The sequence below is a fragment of the Homo sapiens genome, chromosome 15 (assembly GCF_000001405.40).
Source record: "Homo sapiens chromosome 15, GRCh38.p14 Primary Assembly".
NCBI lineage: Eukaryota > Metazoa > Chordata > Mammalia > Primates > Hominidae > Homo > Homo sapiens.
Genome location: NC_000015.10, coordinates 93,895,811 through 93,914,544, shown reverse-complemented (window position 1 = coordinate 93,914,544; position 18,734 = coordinate 93,895,811). Strand labels below are relative to the sequence as shown.

The 18,734-nt window shown below is 38.9% G+C and overlaps 3 long non-coding RNA genes across 4 annotated transcripts in view; 2 read left to right on the top strand and 1 right to left on the bottom strand.

The window, feature by feature from the left end:
* LINC01581 (long intergenic non-protein coding RNA 1581) overlaps positions 1-9,142 on the top strand; it is a 202,536-nt gene extending 193,394 nt beyond the window's left edge. Inside the window, exon 9 of the long non-coding RNA NR_120320.1 lies at positions 8,225-9,142. This is a non-coding gene — a long non-coding RNA (long intergenic non-protein coding RNA 1581). The remainder of the gene's footprint in view (positions 1-8,224) is intronic.
* Positions 1-13,844, bottom strand: part of LINC01580 (long intergenic non-protein coding RNA 1580) — an 83,450-nt gene extending 69,606 nt beyond the window's left edge. For both annotated transcript variants that reach the window (NR_120323.1, NR_120322.1), the window contains exons 1-2: positions 13,767-13,844; positions 8,256-8,373 (exon numbers count right to left, since the gene is read on the bottom strand). This is a non-coding gene — a long non-coding RNA (long intergenic non-protein coding RNA 1580). The remainder of the gene's footprint in view (positions 1-8,255; positions 8,374-13,766) is intronic.
* A 101-nt stretch (positions 13,845-13,945) lies between these two features.
* Positions 13,946-18,486, top strand: LINC01579 (long intergenic non-protein coding RNA 1579). The gene is made up of 4 exons (NR_138083.1): positions 13,946-14,194; positions 14,410-14,509; positions 15,209-15,281; positions 18,116-18,486. It is a non-coding gene; the product is annotated as a long intergenic non-protein coding RNA 1579 (long non-coding RNA).
* The last annotated feature ends 248 nt before the right edge of the window (positions 18,487-18,734 follow it).

The following is an 18,734-nucleotide window of genomic DNA, read 5'->3' as shown; positions in this document are numbered from 1 at the left end:
CTACTGAAGTTATCCATGAAGTTATGTTTAGGACTCAGGAGTCAAAAGCTGAATTTTTAATAATGAATATTATCAATCAAAAAGTGAAAGTAATATTGACATAAGGTGAAGAAGAATCAAGGGAGTTCTGAGAAAGTATGTTTCAATAAAACAATTACAAAACATTCCTGATCATTTTATCTGTGGTCATTCCTTTAGAACATATATAATATGTATTTTTATCACGTATGTTTCTGGTGGGCCATGATGAGAAATGCAGAGATGTTAAGCATCACCTTAAATCTACACAAACACTTGAAAAAGTGTTGAGATAGTCGCATTTGAGAGTGTGCCGAAAGGAAGACAGCTTCTAAGGGACCAGATATTCTTAGTGGAAATGCATATCCACCTCAGACAGATGGCCTTTGCTATACCTATATATTTGTCTCTCATGGTTTAATTTTTTAATGGACTTTATCACCATTCAGCCACATCAGTACTCATCTGTTGTTAATCATCATGCAGACACAAATGTACTTTGACTTCAGTGAGTGTTTTTCATCTGTGTAAAAAACAACACAAAGGAACAAGGAGAGTGAAGGACAAAGACTGTGGCAAATATTTAGAAGGAAGAAATATATGGATTTTTATGAAGTGAAAAAAAAATCCACGTTATTTAGAGTTATCTTGTACTTGTGTTAGGAAAAAGATATTTAAAAATTGGCATATAGTTTCCTGTGGCATTATTTGTGACATTATTTGTCACATATCTGAGATGTAATGTGCTATTACTGAAGTATTCTTCCTATCTTCCATTCTGTAGAAAAACCTGAGATACAAGCAAAATAGGACAATATCTGGTGTCTTGGTCCATTTGTGTTGCTATAAAGGAACACCTGAGGCTGGGTAATTTATAAAGAAAAGAGGTTTATTTGGTTCCTGGCTCTGCAGGCTACAGAAGAGGAATGGCACCAGCACCTGCTTTTGTTGAGGGTTCTGGAAGCTTCCACTCACGGTGGAAGGCAAAGGGGGGCAGGTGTCATGTGGCAAGAGAATAAGGAAGTGAGAAAGGAGGTGTCCACCTCTTTTCAATAAGCAGTTCTCACAGGAACTAAGACTGAGAACTCACTCGCTCCTGCAAGAATAGGAGAATGGCACCAAGCCATGAGGAATCTGCCCCCATGACCCAAACACCTCCCACTAGGCCTCACCTCCAACACTGGGGATCAATTTCAACATAAGACCTGGTGTGGCCAAACAAATTATATCCAAAATATAGCATCTAGTTTGTTTGGTTAATTTTTAAATTGAATCAAAGTAATAAATTATTAAAAATGGTTTGTGCATGTCTCAGAATACATTGCAAGTTAATATCTATTAATATAAACTCATTTGGAAACCATTTGATGTAGGCTAGAGCTGATTTGTGTATGTGTGTGTTTACTATAGATGGAGCCTGCTAAGTGAATATCTGTGTCATCAGTTTTATATGTTATACCCATGTTTCATTATATAAGAACTCCAATTTTGGTTTCTTTAAAGGATGTCTGGAATTTAAAGACAGATTCAAAGCTATCTGAATGCAAAATTGTTCTAGATTTGTAATTTTTTCTTCAATCATTCTTATTTGCTAACATTTTTAAACAAATTATCTTGATCAAGTTATTTAAGTCATTGTTCAATGCCATTGAACTTGGTCTTTTGAAAATGAATTTCTTTCCACACTCATATTCCATTGCTTTGAATAATTCTTATTTAAATTATGTAATTAAAATAACAAATATACCTGACACAAACAACCTTGGAAGTAAAAAGCAAAAGCTATCTTGTGGTTTGAAAAGAAGTGTGTAGCCTATGAGAACTTAAGCATTTAGTGTTCTATGGGCATCTGTGAAGGAACAGAGTGTCATTCTGGAGGTTAGATAAATTGAAGGTCACTTAAGAGCTCTTTCTATCATGTTTAAAATAACATCTGAAGATCAAGACATTTTAAAATGTGGTCAGTGGGGCCAACTTTGTAAAACACAATATTTTATTCCCTCTCGCCTGAGAAAAGAAAATTATTTTCTTTGAAAGCTTTATCATTGCCTTGAAAACAGGATAACCTTTACTAATTAGCAGCTAATAACAATGAGTGATAAAAATCAAACATTATTGAAAGAAGATAGGACGAAGTGACTTCGCATGCAAATTTAGGAGATAATTCATTAAAGGTAATCTTGAATGGATGACACACAACTTACTACTAAATGTCAATTATATTGTCTTTATAGTATAAAATATATAGATTTATCTAACAGCAGTGCTTACTCTTCATCAAACTAGAAATTTTTATTATTGGGAAAGCCTGTCCCAAATAAAAAGGGAGGTTGATATAATGATGTACAAAAAAATTGCTAACATGTTTCCACCAGTTTAGGCACAAATGAAGAAAACTGAAGAGTCCTAGAGTGTTGATGAAGCATAAATTGGTAATTCTTCCTCAAAGAAAACCTAGGAACATTCATTAAAAACTTTAAAAATATATATACATATTTACTCGGCACTTCTGATTCTAAAAAATCCTCTTGAATAAACTATTACAAATATGCAAAATGATATGTGTGTTACAAAATTCTCAACAGGATTGCATAGGAAGGAAGGAAGGAAGGAAGGAAAACAGGAAGCAACCTAGTAGTCCCTACTGACTTCTAAAAGGGTCAAGCTTATTTATGATTATAAAAGATTAGTTGAATTATGCTGGTTATATTTCTGGAACTGAATGACAATGAAAATGGTTGTGGTTCAATCATTTCCACTAGCAGCACCATAACTAGACTATTTCAGCTATGTGCCCACTCACCTGTGTAGTTTCTACACACAAAAAAAGCTTACCATTCCATCTTGGTTTCTGCATAATTTTTGAGTTGCCAATATCCTTCTAGTCAACTCCATTCTGTATATTATCAGAGTCAGAATTGGTTTCCCTTGCTTGCAGCAAAAACTTTAAATGGTACACATTATTATTCTTCTACAATAAGATTAGCATAGTATTCTGTCACCCAAGAATGTATCAGTGTGCTTTTTAACCATTCCTTTATTATCGAGCGTCTTAACTCATTCCTTTCCTCCTCCTTCCTTTCATTGTTGCTAGCAACAATGTATTTCTTGATTTGGACACTGGTTATACACTTCGTTCAATTTACAAAACTTCATCAAGTATACTCATGCATCCTTTCCATTTTTTCACTATAGAGATTACACTTGAAAACAGATTCTACTTATAACTACAGACAATCTAATATCTCAAATTTTTTAAACTGGCAGAAAGTCTGAACTGTCTAGATCGATAGTCCCTCTTCCTTTTGCTCTCTTGATATTCCATTCAAATATTGTGAAACTTTGAAATAATGTTAACTTTAACCACCATAAATACTACCAATATAAGATAAGTAGAAACATAATGGAAAGAGAAGATAAAATATTTGTCACAATATAAGAAAATAAAAAAATAAAATTTGCGTAGACTACATTCCTTATTTCTAAATTGGTCCTGCCTATTACTCATCCTACGTCCACCTGATATTCAGCCAGTGCTCAATTGGTCAGAGTTCTTTGTCAAGTAGACCTATACAAACCAAATTATTAATAACTGAGCTTAGTTCTTGGTGATTCTCCCAACATAGAATAGAGGTTTCAATAACTTTATCACTGTCCATAGTAGTTTCAAGGACACTCTCCAAATGGTTGGATCAGATAATGTCACATTCATTCAGGAACAGTTTGGATTATGCTCAAGAATTGAGAATCTAGCAGAGCCCAGAAGTAAAACAAGAGGCACTGCACACAGAATAGTTACTTAACCAATGATGATAGGGCTTTGCTTCCAAATTCTAGATGTTTCTTTTGTGATTCATCTAACAGAGCTTACTATAGATTCCATAAAGCACTCTGAACCACCACTGAAATTCTAGTTATCATTGTATTTACTGAGCCCAAAGGGCCAATTTATGTAACTATTTGTACAGGTAGAGAGATATGTGTGTCTTAGGTTCCATCTCAAACTTGCAGGTTTTCAAGCCACTTTGTAAATTTATGTAGCAGCACATCAAACTCTCCAATACTGCCAACAAAATCCAAAGACAGCAACTGAGAGATGTGTCTTCTGTCTTCTTAAGGTAGGGAATGCAAAGTGAGCCTACTGCTTCTTCCCTTGAAAAGGGAAATTTATTCCAATATGCTGCAATTCTCGGGATTCTCAGACATTTCACAGAGGTGGTAGACGTTAGTGTATTCATTTTTTTTCTATCTTGCTTCCAATGGAAAACATGTGTCTCAGCAGAGTGCCTAATGTTCCTGCTATTTCCAGTTTCCTACAAATTATCAGCATGATTTTGCCCATTTAATGTAAAAGTGTGATGTCGTGTCATACAATGAGTATATTTTAGCATAGATCTCTAGAGACAATTTATCCATGAAACAAGAAAGTAAGGAATACTACTGTTCCTCTCAGATGAAAGTAAACTTCTGATGTTTTCTGACTATAAGAATGAATAGGGGAAAAGCATTTGCCAGATGGAAAAGTGCATGCCAGGTGCAAGGGCCTTGTGGATTGTGTTATCATTGGTGTTTTACAAATATTTGTTGTTTGAAGTCTCCTTGTGGAGGGGTTATTCTTTATTCACACCCTGTTGAACTCAGACACAGCCACGTGCTTTCTTGGACCACATGAAGTCTGAAGAGATGTGAAGTTTGTTACTTCTGAGCAGAATGGGGTTTCGCAAGTTCTCTTTTCACTAATGCCTTGCTTATGGAAGCACAAGTAAGGATGCTTCATGAGCCTGGGTTCCCTGAAAGGGTATGTTCTACACATGTGGGAGGGAAGAAAGGAGAGAGGAAGTATTTCTTTCTTTCCTTTTTTTTTTTTTTTTTTTTACTTAGAGATGGAGTCTCGCTCTGTCACCCAGGCTGGAGTGCAGTGGTGCAATCTTGGCTCACTGCAAGCTCCGTCTCCTGGGTTCACCCGCCATTCTTCTGCCGCAGCCTCCCGAGTAGCTAAGACTACAGGCGCCCGCCACCACGCCCAGCTAATTTTTGTATTTTTAGTAGAGATGGGGTTTCACCGTGCCAGGATGGTCTCAATCTGACCTCACGATCTGCCCACCTCAGCCTCCCAGAGTGCTGGGATTACAGGTGTGAGCCACCGTGCCCGGCCAAGAGGAAGTATTTGTATAGCAAGGTCAGAGGAGTTGCTTCCTTGACTAAGGAAAACTCAGGGTGTTTATGTGTGGGATCTTTCAGAGGGGTTTACAGATTTAAGATGCTATGAATACTCTAAATACTCTCAGATTTCCCTAATTTAATCATTGAGATCCCACTCTATGCACTCTCAACCAATAACATAATTTTCACATGAGAGACTAGACAAGGCTTTTAATTCAATTGATGTTGCAACTTAGCAACCCACAAATCAACCCCAGAATGCCTTCTGATGATCCTAAATCTGGGGCAACATAAGCTAAGAATCATGCAGCATGGTGTCAAAAGTTAATGAGATTCAGTCTACACTTTGAAATGAGAATTTAGGTTGTGAGCTTCCTGGCTTTCAGTTACCATTATGTTATTAGAAGCAGCCATTGTACTATGGTGCCCTAGAATTTCTTCTAAAGGTTCCCTTTTTGTACAGCAGCAGTTAATCAGTTTCTCTCTGGCTGGCCAAAGTGAGCAAACTTCCCGGTGACCGCAGGAACAGCCTAATTTGCTATGTTGCCATAAAGTTTCTCAAGCTGCTAAATATACATTCTAGCATAGGAAGAGAAATTTCATTTCATATCTATCGCTAGTAATCTATTTTCTGGCACCAATTTCTCTACCAGTAGAGTTCTGTCATAGTGGTAACACAAACTATGGTTAATTTACAAAAAAACAGAATTCACTGGAAAGATACTAGTATTTTAAATGGGAAAGATGAAAAACCAAGATAGCTATAGAGGGCCAGCCATCAGACCTACAGGAATGGTATCGTAACAGGAACACCCTAGTCTGAGCATTGCCACTGGTAAACTCAATTGTTTGTCACTGTCAATCTGCTAAAATTCAATGGAAGAAGGATTCAGTGGCCTAGTTCGGATTATTGGCTTGACAAGAAAAGGGCAAAGCCATTCATTGAAGGACAGTTTCACCAAACAAGACTGTATACCAAAGAAAAAGTACTTCCTCAGGAGGAATTATTGATGCTTTTAGGAAAGAAAGTTGGAAAGCTAAAAATATAAAATAAAACAAAATAACAAAACGGCATAATTTTCATGATATAGTGTTAAGTGTATATAATATATATTACATATAGTAAGTAATATATATCATATTAACCATTATCACTAGGTGGTAGGATTACCTGTGCTTTTATAGTTTTCCTTTGTACTTTTTGAATTTCACAAATTTTCTATTTAAAAAGTTTATATATGCTAAAAAATAGGAAAACACAGTAAATGTAAAAATAAAAGAAATCGAAGGGCTATTTGGAAGTGGCACTACATTACTAAGGAGTTGATCATATATCAGTTGTGCATATTTCAGACTATTTGCTTCCCCTCTTCTCCTTTTTGCTAAACACTAATATTTCTGTTTCTCAGCTTTAGTACAAAATGGGGAAAATGTCATGGGAAAGGAAAATAATTGACAATAAAAATAATATTAGCTAATTTTACCAAGTACTCATGCATCCCCATGTCACTTCTTAGATTCTACAAAAAGAGTGTTTGGAACCTGTTTCATCAAAACGCAGGTTCAATTCTGTGAAATAACACAGCACATCACAAAGCGTTTTCACAGATAGCTTGTTTCACAGACAGCTTGGCACCATCAACGTTTCCGAACCTATTGAGGACTTATAAGGAAATATGAATATCCAGGCCTAAAAACTAGAGACAAGCTATCTGTGAAAATGCTTTGTGATGTGTTATTTTTTATCACAGAATTGAACCTGCATTTTCATGAAACAGGTTCCAAACACTCTTTTTGTAGAATCTAAGAAGTGACATTCTGCCAGCATAGGCACGCATAAGTACTTGCCAGGAGTGACATACTGCCCAGCGTTTTGCTAAATACTTCATATGATATAGGTATTATAATTATTGCCATTTTACAGATGAAATACTTGAGGTTCAGAGATGTTACGTTCTTACTTAACACAGCTCACCTGAGCAAATAAATGAAATGAAATTCAAATGTGCATTTCTTTCAGCTTTTTTAGGAATTCTGAGGAAGTTTAGGAAATGTTTGCGCATACTGTTTGTTCATGAACCTTCATGAACACATTTGGAATGATTTTAAGAGATACAGGAATGAGTTCTGAGCAATAAGAATTTTTTACATTTATGCTTCAAATACTTAGTGAGCATTCACTTTGTGCCAAGATGTCTAAGGTTTGTGCTGTTGAAGACATAAATGCTGTCTCTCTAGGTCAATCCATAGCTGTGATTTTATAAATTCTGTGTGAGGTTTTGATTCAATTCACGTTTTAAAAATTTGTCTCATCTGATAACTCAAGACTTTCCATAAACTGGCAGTAAATAAAGCAAATAAATTATTGAGTGTAGGGAATAAATTTAGAATAGAGAGAAAAGTATCTCTGGAAGGCCATACAAGATATGTTAGTGCTCATAACTTTGCAGGGTTCAATATCAAAGTCAAGAATAAATGCTTGAATTGATGGATACCTCATTTCCTCTGATTTGATTAATTCACATTGTATGCCTGTATCAAAATATCTCATAAACCCCTTAAATGTATACACCTACTATGTATCCATAAAAACAAAAACAATTAAATAAAAAGTCAATGTCCATCTATAGTCATAATACTCCAGCCACAGCCACAATATTGCTGAAATTTTTCCACATCAATAGCAACTTACAAGGATGAACTTTAAATCTGATTTCTCTTGGTCAGATTGCCATTTCCCAAACACTTCCTCACTTCTCTATATTTTATAAGATTTATCCAATTTCCACTAGAATAAAAATTTCAGTGAATTTGTAAAGTGATATTTCCATTCATATCTTGGGATTTCACTTACCTCTGACATTTAGAAGTTCCTTTGGTAAGAATTCATAAACAAGGCAATGGCTTACATTCTTAATCCAGGAAGGAAGGAAGAGGAAATACTTCACTGGAGTAAATGTCATTACCTTTATGCTAAAATATGTTATATGGAACTTAATTTTGTGGAATCCTGTCATTTTCAAAATGCTTTCCTGTATTTCAGAAACAACAACAAATAAGCGTTGAGAACTTACCAAGTGGCAGGCACTGTAGGAGATGCCAACTGTTCATCATGGACCTTCATGTTGCAGCTTGGGCCCATCTTCCCCATCTCATCTCCCAGGACTCAAACTAGCAAATCTCCTTAGGCTACTGTGAGGAGGATGGATTAAAATGGGGAAAAGGCTGAAGCAGGGGGAATTAATTAGGAACCTGTTACAGTATAATTAGGGACAAATTATGATGGTCTGCATCATTGTAGTAGTAGTAGTAAAAATTAATTAAAATGGACAGATTCAAGAAATATTTAGGCAATAGATTGACAGCACTGGGTGGTTAATTGACCTTATTTTGAGAGTTTGTGTGAAAGATGGGAATAAGTGAACGATAAATCTCAGGATTTTGTTTGTTTCTAATGTCTACAAATGGGGAGAAAGTTGTGGGACTCCTTGTTCATCTTCAGGCATCTTTAGGCATAAGATTCAGTTACCTGAAGCATAGTCAAGAGGAGATGCTTAGTTAGCACTTAGGTTATAATACAGAAGAGAAATTTTGTTGGATATACAAGTTTGTGAGCAATTAACATGTAATAAAAGTAACCAGATCACCCCAGGGGAGCTTTTATATTGATAGTGAGGGGAGCCCAGAAAAGACCCCAGTGCCTATAAAAGTGCCTGGCAGATACATAGTTGTCAATTGATAAGTGCATGAAATAATTAACTAATGAAAGAATGAACAGACATAGAGATACCTCTTTCTGATGAACAGATAGATGTATAAACCAGTAAGATCATTCTATGTGCTATAAATGAAGTAATATTAAATGTTTCATTCTATGTGCTATGGAAAGAAGTAATATTAAATGTTTCCTACAATAATTCATTAAATTTTACAATAAACACAATAAATTAGACATGGAAAATTATTTTCTTATTTTAATCATGATATGATTGAGGCCAAGAAGGGTACTTTTGTCCAAAGCATCAAGGGTGCAATTTGTAATGATAGAATCAGGACTATAACCAATTTTCTTTTTTAATATTAAATGATAATTTATTGAAAAAAAGGTTATATTTATTTTTTTGGAATGCAGAATTCAGAAAAGATAACAGAGGTAGAAGAGGGAAAATTTGCTCTTTGGACTATAATGCAAAATAACAAGAGTCAGAAGGCAGCCCTGCAAATCGAAACCATTTGAAATAAGTGAAAGAAGATTAGAGAACCGTGGTCCTTTCTGCCTTTCTCAAAGCCAGCACCAGTATTTCTTTTCAAAGTCACCCTAGAGAGGGCCCAGAATGGACTCTTATCCTGCTAAATTTTCAGAGTCCTGGGTCTGTCCCTAGAGAGGGCCCAAAATGGACTCTTTGCTGTTGGATTTTCAGAGTCATGGGTCTGTCTCTCATCAGTGCTAAAACAGCAAGATTTGTATTAATCATCCTGTTCCCCAAATGCATAACCTGAGATTCTTTTCAGATATTCAGGTTGTTGATGGAAATTTTGTTTGGAATTTAAACTGCATAACAAATTGAGGCCCCTTTGCCCTCATAAATCAGAAAGCTTCTTTAGAGGGGTTTTAAGTCTCTAAGTTGCATTAGTGGGTGTTTTAACATGTCCAAAAGGCAAATATTCTTAATGCAAGTAGCTCCTCTTTTTTCATCCATCAACTAGAAACTCATTCCCACACATTTCTTGTGCATGTGTGTGCTTCTATCTACTTGAGAAATGTGGGATTAGGTAGAGGGGAGGAGCGATACATTTTTAGTCTAATCAATCAGTCTTTCCAGGGATCTCTATGGGGTTAGGTTACTTAGGACTTCAGGGCATATTTTCTTCTGATCCACATGGACATTGCACTTTTTAGAGAATAAGAGGGACTGATGCTTTCATCACAATGACTGTCATTCTGAAGTCACTGTGTTTTCAGGATAGAGCATAGGATTGCCTTTCAGAAATCCCAAGAGAGGGAATCTCAAGTGAAAAAGTGAAAGTAATGGCAAATTCACAATAAACTACCGCCAAGGGAATAGAATCTTTTAAGTGGAATTCTGTCATCAACACTATTCTGTTCTGGTGTTAATGACAGAATAAAATTCTATTTCCTTGGAACAGAATAACCAACACTTTCAGGCTATCTAGGGGAATATCCGTTGTCTACTACACCCAGATTTTAGGACTTGGAGTTATCTCAGTCTCTTCCCTTTCTAATGAAAATCTCTACTCTTGATGCAGCTGTTACTATTCATGGCAGCCCTTCTATTCCCAAGGCCACTGCTTTATTTCAGGCATTTTCAGTGTCCCTGGCTGGAGAAAAGGGGCTCAGATTTAGGGAATCACTCTCAATTATACAGAACTAAACATCATGAGATACTTATTAAGAAATCTTAGCAATGGAGGTATTTCTTAAGAACATCAATTTCTTCTATTATCTAGTTATTGGTGCAACCAGCAGGTCTCTGGTTTGTTATTTCATATTCTAGTTTGACCTACTTTCCAGAAGAAGGGTTTCCTTAAGTAAGTGATAAAAGCCAGTTGTCTTTATAGATACATCCTGAGGGTACCTTAATGTAGACTCTTCCAATTTATTCAAGACTATTGTCATTTGATTCCTACTGACAACTTCAAAGCCTAATAGATACAGGGTAAACTGATAAAATTGAGTTCCTTAGACTGCAAATCAGTGAGACAAAAACTGAACCTTGGGCTTTCATCTAGGAGTATCAAATCCCTTGCTGCAAAGACAATGAACTTCAGACCCAGACAGTCATAGTTTGAGCTCTCTATTCTCTCTCTCTCTCTTTATTTTTTTATTTTTTATTTTTTTGAGATGGAGTCTCACTCTATTGCCAAGGCTGGAGTGCAGTGGCGTGGTCTCGGCTCACTGCAACCTTCACCTCCCAGGTTCAAGCAATTCTTCTGCCGAGTAGCTAGGATTACAGGTGCCTGCCACCACGTTCAGCTAATTGTTTGTATTTTTAGTACAGACGGGGTTTCACCATGTTGGCTAGGCTGATCTCGAACTCCTGACCTCATGATCTGCCTGCCTTGGCCTCCCAAAGCACTGGGATTACAGGCATGAGCCACCACGCCCGGCCTGAGCTCTCTATTCTCTAATTGGTAGAAAGTTATTTAATCTGATTCTGAATGTCCTCATTTAACAAATGAGTATAATAATACTCACATTTAAAGTTTTATATAATTATTTGTGATAACATATATGAACTATCCGATGCATAGTAAATGCTATTGATATCTTAATTGTAATATTATTATTAATCTATCAAGGATTTGTAGTTACTATTACTACAACTAGTATTGTGACTGTTATTACAACTACTGTCACTGCTATCACTGCAATTACTCTTATGACTGCTAATACTACAAGGACCAATCTATTTTATAGGGTTGTTATGAAAGTGGCTGTATGTAAAGCTCATACATAAGTGCTTGGCACATTGTATGCACTCAATAACTGTTCCTCTTCCTCCAAGTGACTAGATATACTCATATTGATGGGGTTGAAGAAGGATGATGACCTCTATTTGAAAACTGTGAGATCTTAAGGAGATTTTAATGATTGAAGACGTTCATAGAACTTTTCTCTGAAATTGGCTTTATAATGTGGGAAAGGGCAATAATATTTGTGGCATATTGAAGGGTATGGAAGATCTACAGGCATCATTTGTTCAATAATCACAAGAAAACCTGAAAGATATGTTTTGATTCCATTTAACAGGTAAGTATGGAAGTTGAGTAAATTGTCTTTTCTGCTGTTTTTTCAATAACCTCTTCTTCAGGGATGCCTATCACTGTTGCAATTTCAAACATCACTTCTCTAAAGATAACTCTCCAAATCCAAATCTGCAGGTGGGAGAGTGCTCATTTCTACTAACAGTCTGACTGTTCTTGAAAAGGGAACGTATTTAATACTAAATTCATGGGTTTTCTTACTAACCAATACTTTCATATTGGGGGAATATCCATTGTCTATTGCACTCAGATTTGAGGACTTGAGTTACCTTATTTTTCTCCTTTTCTGATGAAAGATTCTCCACTTGAAGCTGCTGCTGATATTCATGCAAGCCCTTCAATCCCCATGGTCCCTGTTTCATTTCAGGCTTTTATTAGCTCATGCCTGAACTAGTATGATAGCATTGTAATAAAATTTTCTATTTCACTTTTTTTTTCTGTTTTTAGGCTGTACTTTACTGTCAGATTTAGTCTTCCTCAACTAGCAGTATATAAGTTTTCACTCCCTAGTTACAAATTTGATGGATTCCTTTAAAATTTAAATCCAAACTCCCTGGCATTCAGGACCGTAAGACAATTTTCTCCCAATATATCTCTACAACCTTGTATGTAAATGCTACCATAAAAATAAGGTTCAAACAATCCACTTGTAAACACGCTACACAGGCCAGGTGTGGTATCTCACACCTGTAATTCCAGCACTTTGGGAGGCTGAGGCAGGATAATTGCTTCAGCCCAAGAGTCAAGACCAGGCTGGACAACATAGTGAGAACCCATCTCTATAAATAACAAAAAAAAAGTAGCCAGGCATGGTGTATCGCACCTGTAGTCCCAGCTACTTGGGAGGCTGAAGTGGGAGGACTGCTTGAGCCCAGGAGGTTGAGGCTGAAGTGAGCCATAATCACACCACTGCACTCCAGCCTGGGCAATAAAGCAACAAAGTGAGACCCTGTATTTCTCAAACAAACAAAAACAAAAAACAAAAAACAAGAAGGAAGAAAGAGAAGAAGAAAGAAAAGAAAAATACATAAATAAAAATAGACACATAGACATGCTGTAGAGTTATTACGGGCATACAGTGTGCCAAGCACATATGTATGAGCTTTACATATAGTGACTTTCATAACAACCCTATAAAATAGAATGACCATAGTTACAGAAGTAGTCACAATAGTAATTGTAGTAGCAGCAGTGATGGCACCGGCCACCTGTCTGGAGCGGCCGCTGCAAAGACACCGGCTGCACCAGGGGAGGTGCCGCCAGAGCTGCGCACTCAGCAAAGCCAGGGTGGGTGGAGGGCCGGGGCGGGGGGAGCTGGGAACAGGCAGGGGTCCCGCCCCCTACCGAGCTAAAGGGTGGGGAACCCGTGCTAGGGGCACAGCTGCAGAGCTGCCGCCGCAGACCCAGGCATCCCTGTGCTTTCGGGGGGCCAGGAAGCCCCTGACCCCACAGGTTCAGCAGTGCCTGCTTGCTCCCATTCCTGGCCTCTGCCTGCTCCCTGTGCCCACTTCAATTTTGGAGCAAAGTGATGGCCAAGCCTGGGTGCTGCTGCAACCTGGCCAGGCGTGCGCATGCTCAGGGAGGCGCTGTTACACCAGCCCCCTGCCTCCTCAGCCCCCTCTGGACTTTGGGCACTGATGAGCACGGGAGAGAGGCGAGGAGGCGCTGTGGGCTGCTGGGCTCAGGCCTAGAGGCGCCCTTCAAAACGAACAGCCTGGGTGCTGTGGAGGGCACGTTGATGGCAGCAAAAGGAAGACAGGCTACTGGACAGAAAGGGACGGGTCCCAGTGAAGCCCCACCTTCAAGCCAGGGATGGCTTCAATCCTGGAGGCCGCGCTGTCAGTTCCGGTCGGAGTCTGTGGCCTGGAGTGAGCACTAATGGTTCTTTTTCCAGGCCCGCCCATGGCCACCCATGGACCAATCAGCATGCACTTCCTCCCTTCTGAACCCATAAAAACCCCGCTCCCCGGACGCAGCCGGAGTCACGCGAAGTCGGAAGTACCAGCTGCGGGAAGGAGCTGCCCACTGTGCGTCTTCTCAACTTGTTGGGACAACCTTCCTGCGGAAAGGAGAGACAACCTTCCTGCAGAAAGGAGCTACCTGCTTCAGGTCTACTGAGAGCTGTTCTGCCACTCAATAAAGCTCTTCTCCATCTTGCTAAGCCTCCATTTGTCCGCAATACCTCATCTCCCTGGACGCAGGACAAGAACTCAGGACCCGCCTGGAGGTACTAAAAGAGCTTTAACACAAACAGGGCTGAAACACGCTCCCTTGCTTGCCACATTGCGGGTGACGAGAAGGAGAAAAGAGCTGTGTTCCTTTGAGGATCCCAGACCTAGGGTCTCCCTGAGCCAGGGCTGTGACACTCCCTTTGGGGTTCTATGGTTCCTGGCATCTTCAAGCTTCCAGGCGCCACCACCTTCGTTCCCTTCATCCAAACAGGTGCCCACAGCAGAATCCACATGCCGTCCATCTGGTCCAGCCTCACGCAGAGCCACAACTGTGCTGGCGCCTGGAGCTGCCAGCCCCACTGCAGCAGCCGGTATGTATGGCTGTTGCCGGTCCCTGCGCTCGTTCACCCACACACCCCTTGCGGCTCCGCGCCTAGCTCTCCCTGGGCAGGTGTGGGATCTGGGCTGGTGGCGGGAGCCAAGCACAGCCTACCGGGCCAAGTGGGCGGAACAAGCCCAGTGGGCACGAGCAATACTCAGGCAGAAGGTGCTGCCAGCAACAGAGGTTTCTGGCTGATGAAACGACACCTCAAGGATCCCATGACAGCAGTAATAGTAGCTGTGGTAGCAGTCATAATAGTAGTTATTGTACTAGCAGACGTAGTAGTTATAACAATAGTTATAATAGTTGTCTTAATAGCAGTGAGAGTAGTTACAGTAGCAGTTAAAATCGTTGTAGGAACAGCAACTACAAATACTTGATTGACTAACACTAGTACAACTAAGATATTTATAGTACTTACCATGCACCGGAGAGTTCACACACATTATTCTTTGCCTTTTGACCATTTTCCTCCTTTGAGATAATTGTCTCCTCATCTGTCTCTCCTCTCTCTCCTTTAGGCATTTCATCTGTGAAACTATTTATATCCCTTAAGGGATGCCCCTCCATATCTTTATATCTACTTCTCCTTCATCCCAGCTCCAATATTGTGTCTTACCATCATTATGTTTTGTAAAAGGAAAAAAGAAGCCATTCCCTACTTTAAACTTCTCTGCTTTGTATCTAGGACTGACATTCAGACGTGGAGCAAGTTGGACTGCATAGGGACCCACCAGTGAGATGGACGCTGTCTGTAAACGGTAGGGATGGCGGCCCGTCGCGGTGGCTCACGCCTGTAACCCCAGCACTTTGGGAGGGCGAGACGGGCGGATTATGAGGTCAGGACACCGAGACCATCCTGGCTAACACGGTGAAACCCCATCTCTACTAAAAAAAAAAAAAAATCAGCCGGGTGTGGTAGTGTACCTGTAGTCCCAGCTACTTGGGAGGCGGAGGCAAGAGAATCGCTTGAACCCGGGAGGCGGAGGTTGCAGGTAGCCGAGATAGCGGCATTGCACTCCATCCTGGGTGACACAGTGAGACTCTGTCTCAAAAACAAACAAACAAACAAACAAAAAGGAGTAGAGATGGCTGTGCTGGCCACACTCTGCCTCCATCCACCTTTCCTGACACTCTACTCCATGCTGGCCACTTGGCATGTTTGACTTTCCATCACTGACTGCCCTGAGCTAACCTACTTTTTTTGTCTGTTATTTTCCATATGAGCAAATCCCTAACAAAATCTTAAATTTTTATGAGGGGATGTAGGAGGGGTATTATCTATGGATGTTAATGGTATTTTTCATAGATGCCATCTTTTCTAATTTAAAAATTAAGGCATAATATTCAGAGTAGGAAATCTGTAATACATGAAGTTATAAAAAGTGATCCTTTATGTAATCACACATAATCCTTCTACCTCTAGGACATCATGGTACATACATGTTGATGTCTATCCTTTTAGTTTTATACACACAATTTTTTGTCAATTGTTTATTTTTATTTAGCAAAATAGTGTGACCATCTCAAAAAATACTCATTCTTCAAAAGTGTACCTTTTCCAATAGTGCCCAGTGAAACCTTTTATATATATATTTACAAAATTCATACTGAATACTGTAATTATTTCCTTGTTTTCAGGCAAAACCCTTTTTACTATTTTTATTACTTATTGATACATAATATTTGCACATATTTATGGGGGACATGAGAAATTTTGGTACACATATAGAATGTGTAATGACCAAGTCAGGGTATTTAAGATATCCATCACCTGGAATATTTACCATTTCTTTGTGTTGAGAACATTTCATATCTTTTCTTCTAGCTATTTTGAAATATACAACATATTGTTAACTACAGTTAACCTTCTGCGCCGTCAAGCACTAGAATTTATTCCTTCTGCCTAACAGTGTACTTTTAAATGGATGCATAGATCATAATTTACCCTCATTTTTGGTCACTGAGAGTATATGTAGAGTGTATACTTATTTAGGACAGAGTGAGGATTAGGGTTAGTAAAGCCCTCTGCCTTCCCTAGTTCTTCATTATCCCGTTTGTACACAAGCATTAGTACATAATGCTTTTCTGTGTCTCACCTCTAGCTTTCAAAACTTTGTATGGCAAAGCAAAACCCATCCTTGTGTTTATTCCCAGAACTTGCTTCCTAACAGGTATCTGGGGATGTTCCAATGTCCCCTTACCCCGTCTCCAGGACCTTCCTATTCCCAACTGCCTTTCTCTGATCTTCTCTAGTAGTGATATTTGTATGCTGGGAACTGTACTAAAGGTTTTCTGTAAGATATATTATCTTTTTTTGTTTTTAATTCTCACAGCTCTGAGAGACAATTATTATGCTTACATTCTCCCATGCCTTCCCCTCTCACCCCTAACCTTAGAGGATATACTAATTTGCATACTGGTTTAGAGAGAAGCAGAGGGCCATCTGTTTGAGTCTAAGCTAGGAAACTTTTTGCCTTTGAAGACTTTCACTGAATGTGCTAAGAAGAGAAACCCCTCTGCAGACACACACAGACGTTCTGCAGTTTCCCAATCTCTGGTGCAGTTCTGGCCTTTTGGGGCTTTAAGGGCTTTGGCTAAGGTAAGAAGAATCTGTCATTTCTTCCCAAGGCTCAGAATGGGCAATTATAATTGTTCTTGACAAGTTTAAACAGGCCAAAGGAGCTTTTCTCAGATTTGGGGAATTCCTAAATGATTTTTTAATACAAATCTTTTTTTTTTAATGATAGAACATTATACTCACAGTTCTTGTTTTTTAGGGCTCTGTTTGCATTGGGTATTTTTCCTATTTTGAATATCCAAAGCTGGAAAGTTTGAGGTTTGTTTTCTGCCAGGGCACTCTGAGTAGAACTTGAAAGTTTGGCTTGAGAGACCTAACATAGCTTTGATAGTGTTCACCCAGTTATTCTATAAACGAATATTTCAAAAAGAGGATTTCGAGATCCCTCAAATGTCGAGTCACCAGATAAAATACATGATGCCCAGTACGATTTGAATTACAGATAAACAACAAATAATTTTTAGTATTAATGTAAGTATGACTCATGTCAATTGGGATATACTTATGCTAGAAAATTGTTGTTTATCTATATTTTTTATTTGCTAAATTCTGCAAACTTATCCAAGTGTTTATAATTAACTACGCTGGTGAAAACACCAAATAATGAATGTGTCCTAATATTTCCTGAGGACTATATTAATATAATTTCATGTAATCTTTCTAACAATACTATGATACACACATAATCAATTCTATGTAACAGAAAAGAGAATTGAGCTTCAGGGAGTTTTAAAATTTGGCCCAAATCACACTATTGGTGAGTGGCAGATCTGTGAGTTAAAGACAGGTCATCTGATTGCAAAACCCACCTTCATTCCAACTCGCCTAAGGTGTTTAAAATGTGTTAGGAACACTGAGCAGCCCTTGCTTCCCCATGAAGCAAGCAAATACCTAGAAAGCTGACCTGAAGTGCCTGGGGCCCACATTTCAGGTTCACAGTGTAATTATAGTGCTTGGCATTCAGTGCAGACACACACATCATCATTCTAATTAAGCAACTGTCTTAATTATCAGGTTCTCCAGGGAGGCTGCTCTGCCAAGTCTGGTATTTCATGAATAGATCTGAAAACAGACATTATCTCTTCTCCCAGTGAAGAGAGAGCGATGAAGCCTCAGGACAAAAGGAGGCAGTGGGATGATGCCACCAAGGGACCATTCTGAAGAGCCATCAGCAAAAAGCAGCCACACCTGCTTATGTGGCTCTGGGACAAATGATCTGAGCCGTGACGTGGAACTTAGATGCAGTAAAGTCCATTGTATTGAGCCTTCTCTGGCACTCCTCCCAAAACAGAGAGACAACAGTTCTGTTATGTTTTGTTTGGTTTGGTCTCCCTCAACTCATCAATGAGCCTTTTTAAAAAGAATAATTCGGTACTTTCTTTAAAGGTGGTAGAATTGGCTCTTACTCTAGTCTGTTTTCTCCTTCCTAAGGGAGGAGCATCCTTCTTGTTAACACAGAACCCCAAACTATCTGATCAGAAAGAAAATAATTCAATCTGCTGTTTGAATTGACTTCCAGCAGCGTCTTAAATTTTAATTGGCCCCCGGCCTAAAACAACCTCAAACTGTATGTCTTCCATACTCCTCTCACCACCACCATCACCACTGCCCCTACAACCACTCTAAGCATAGT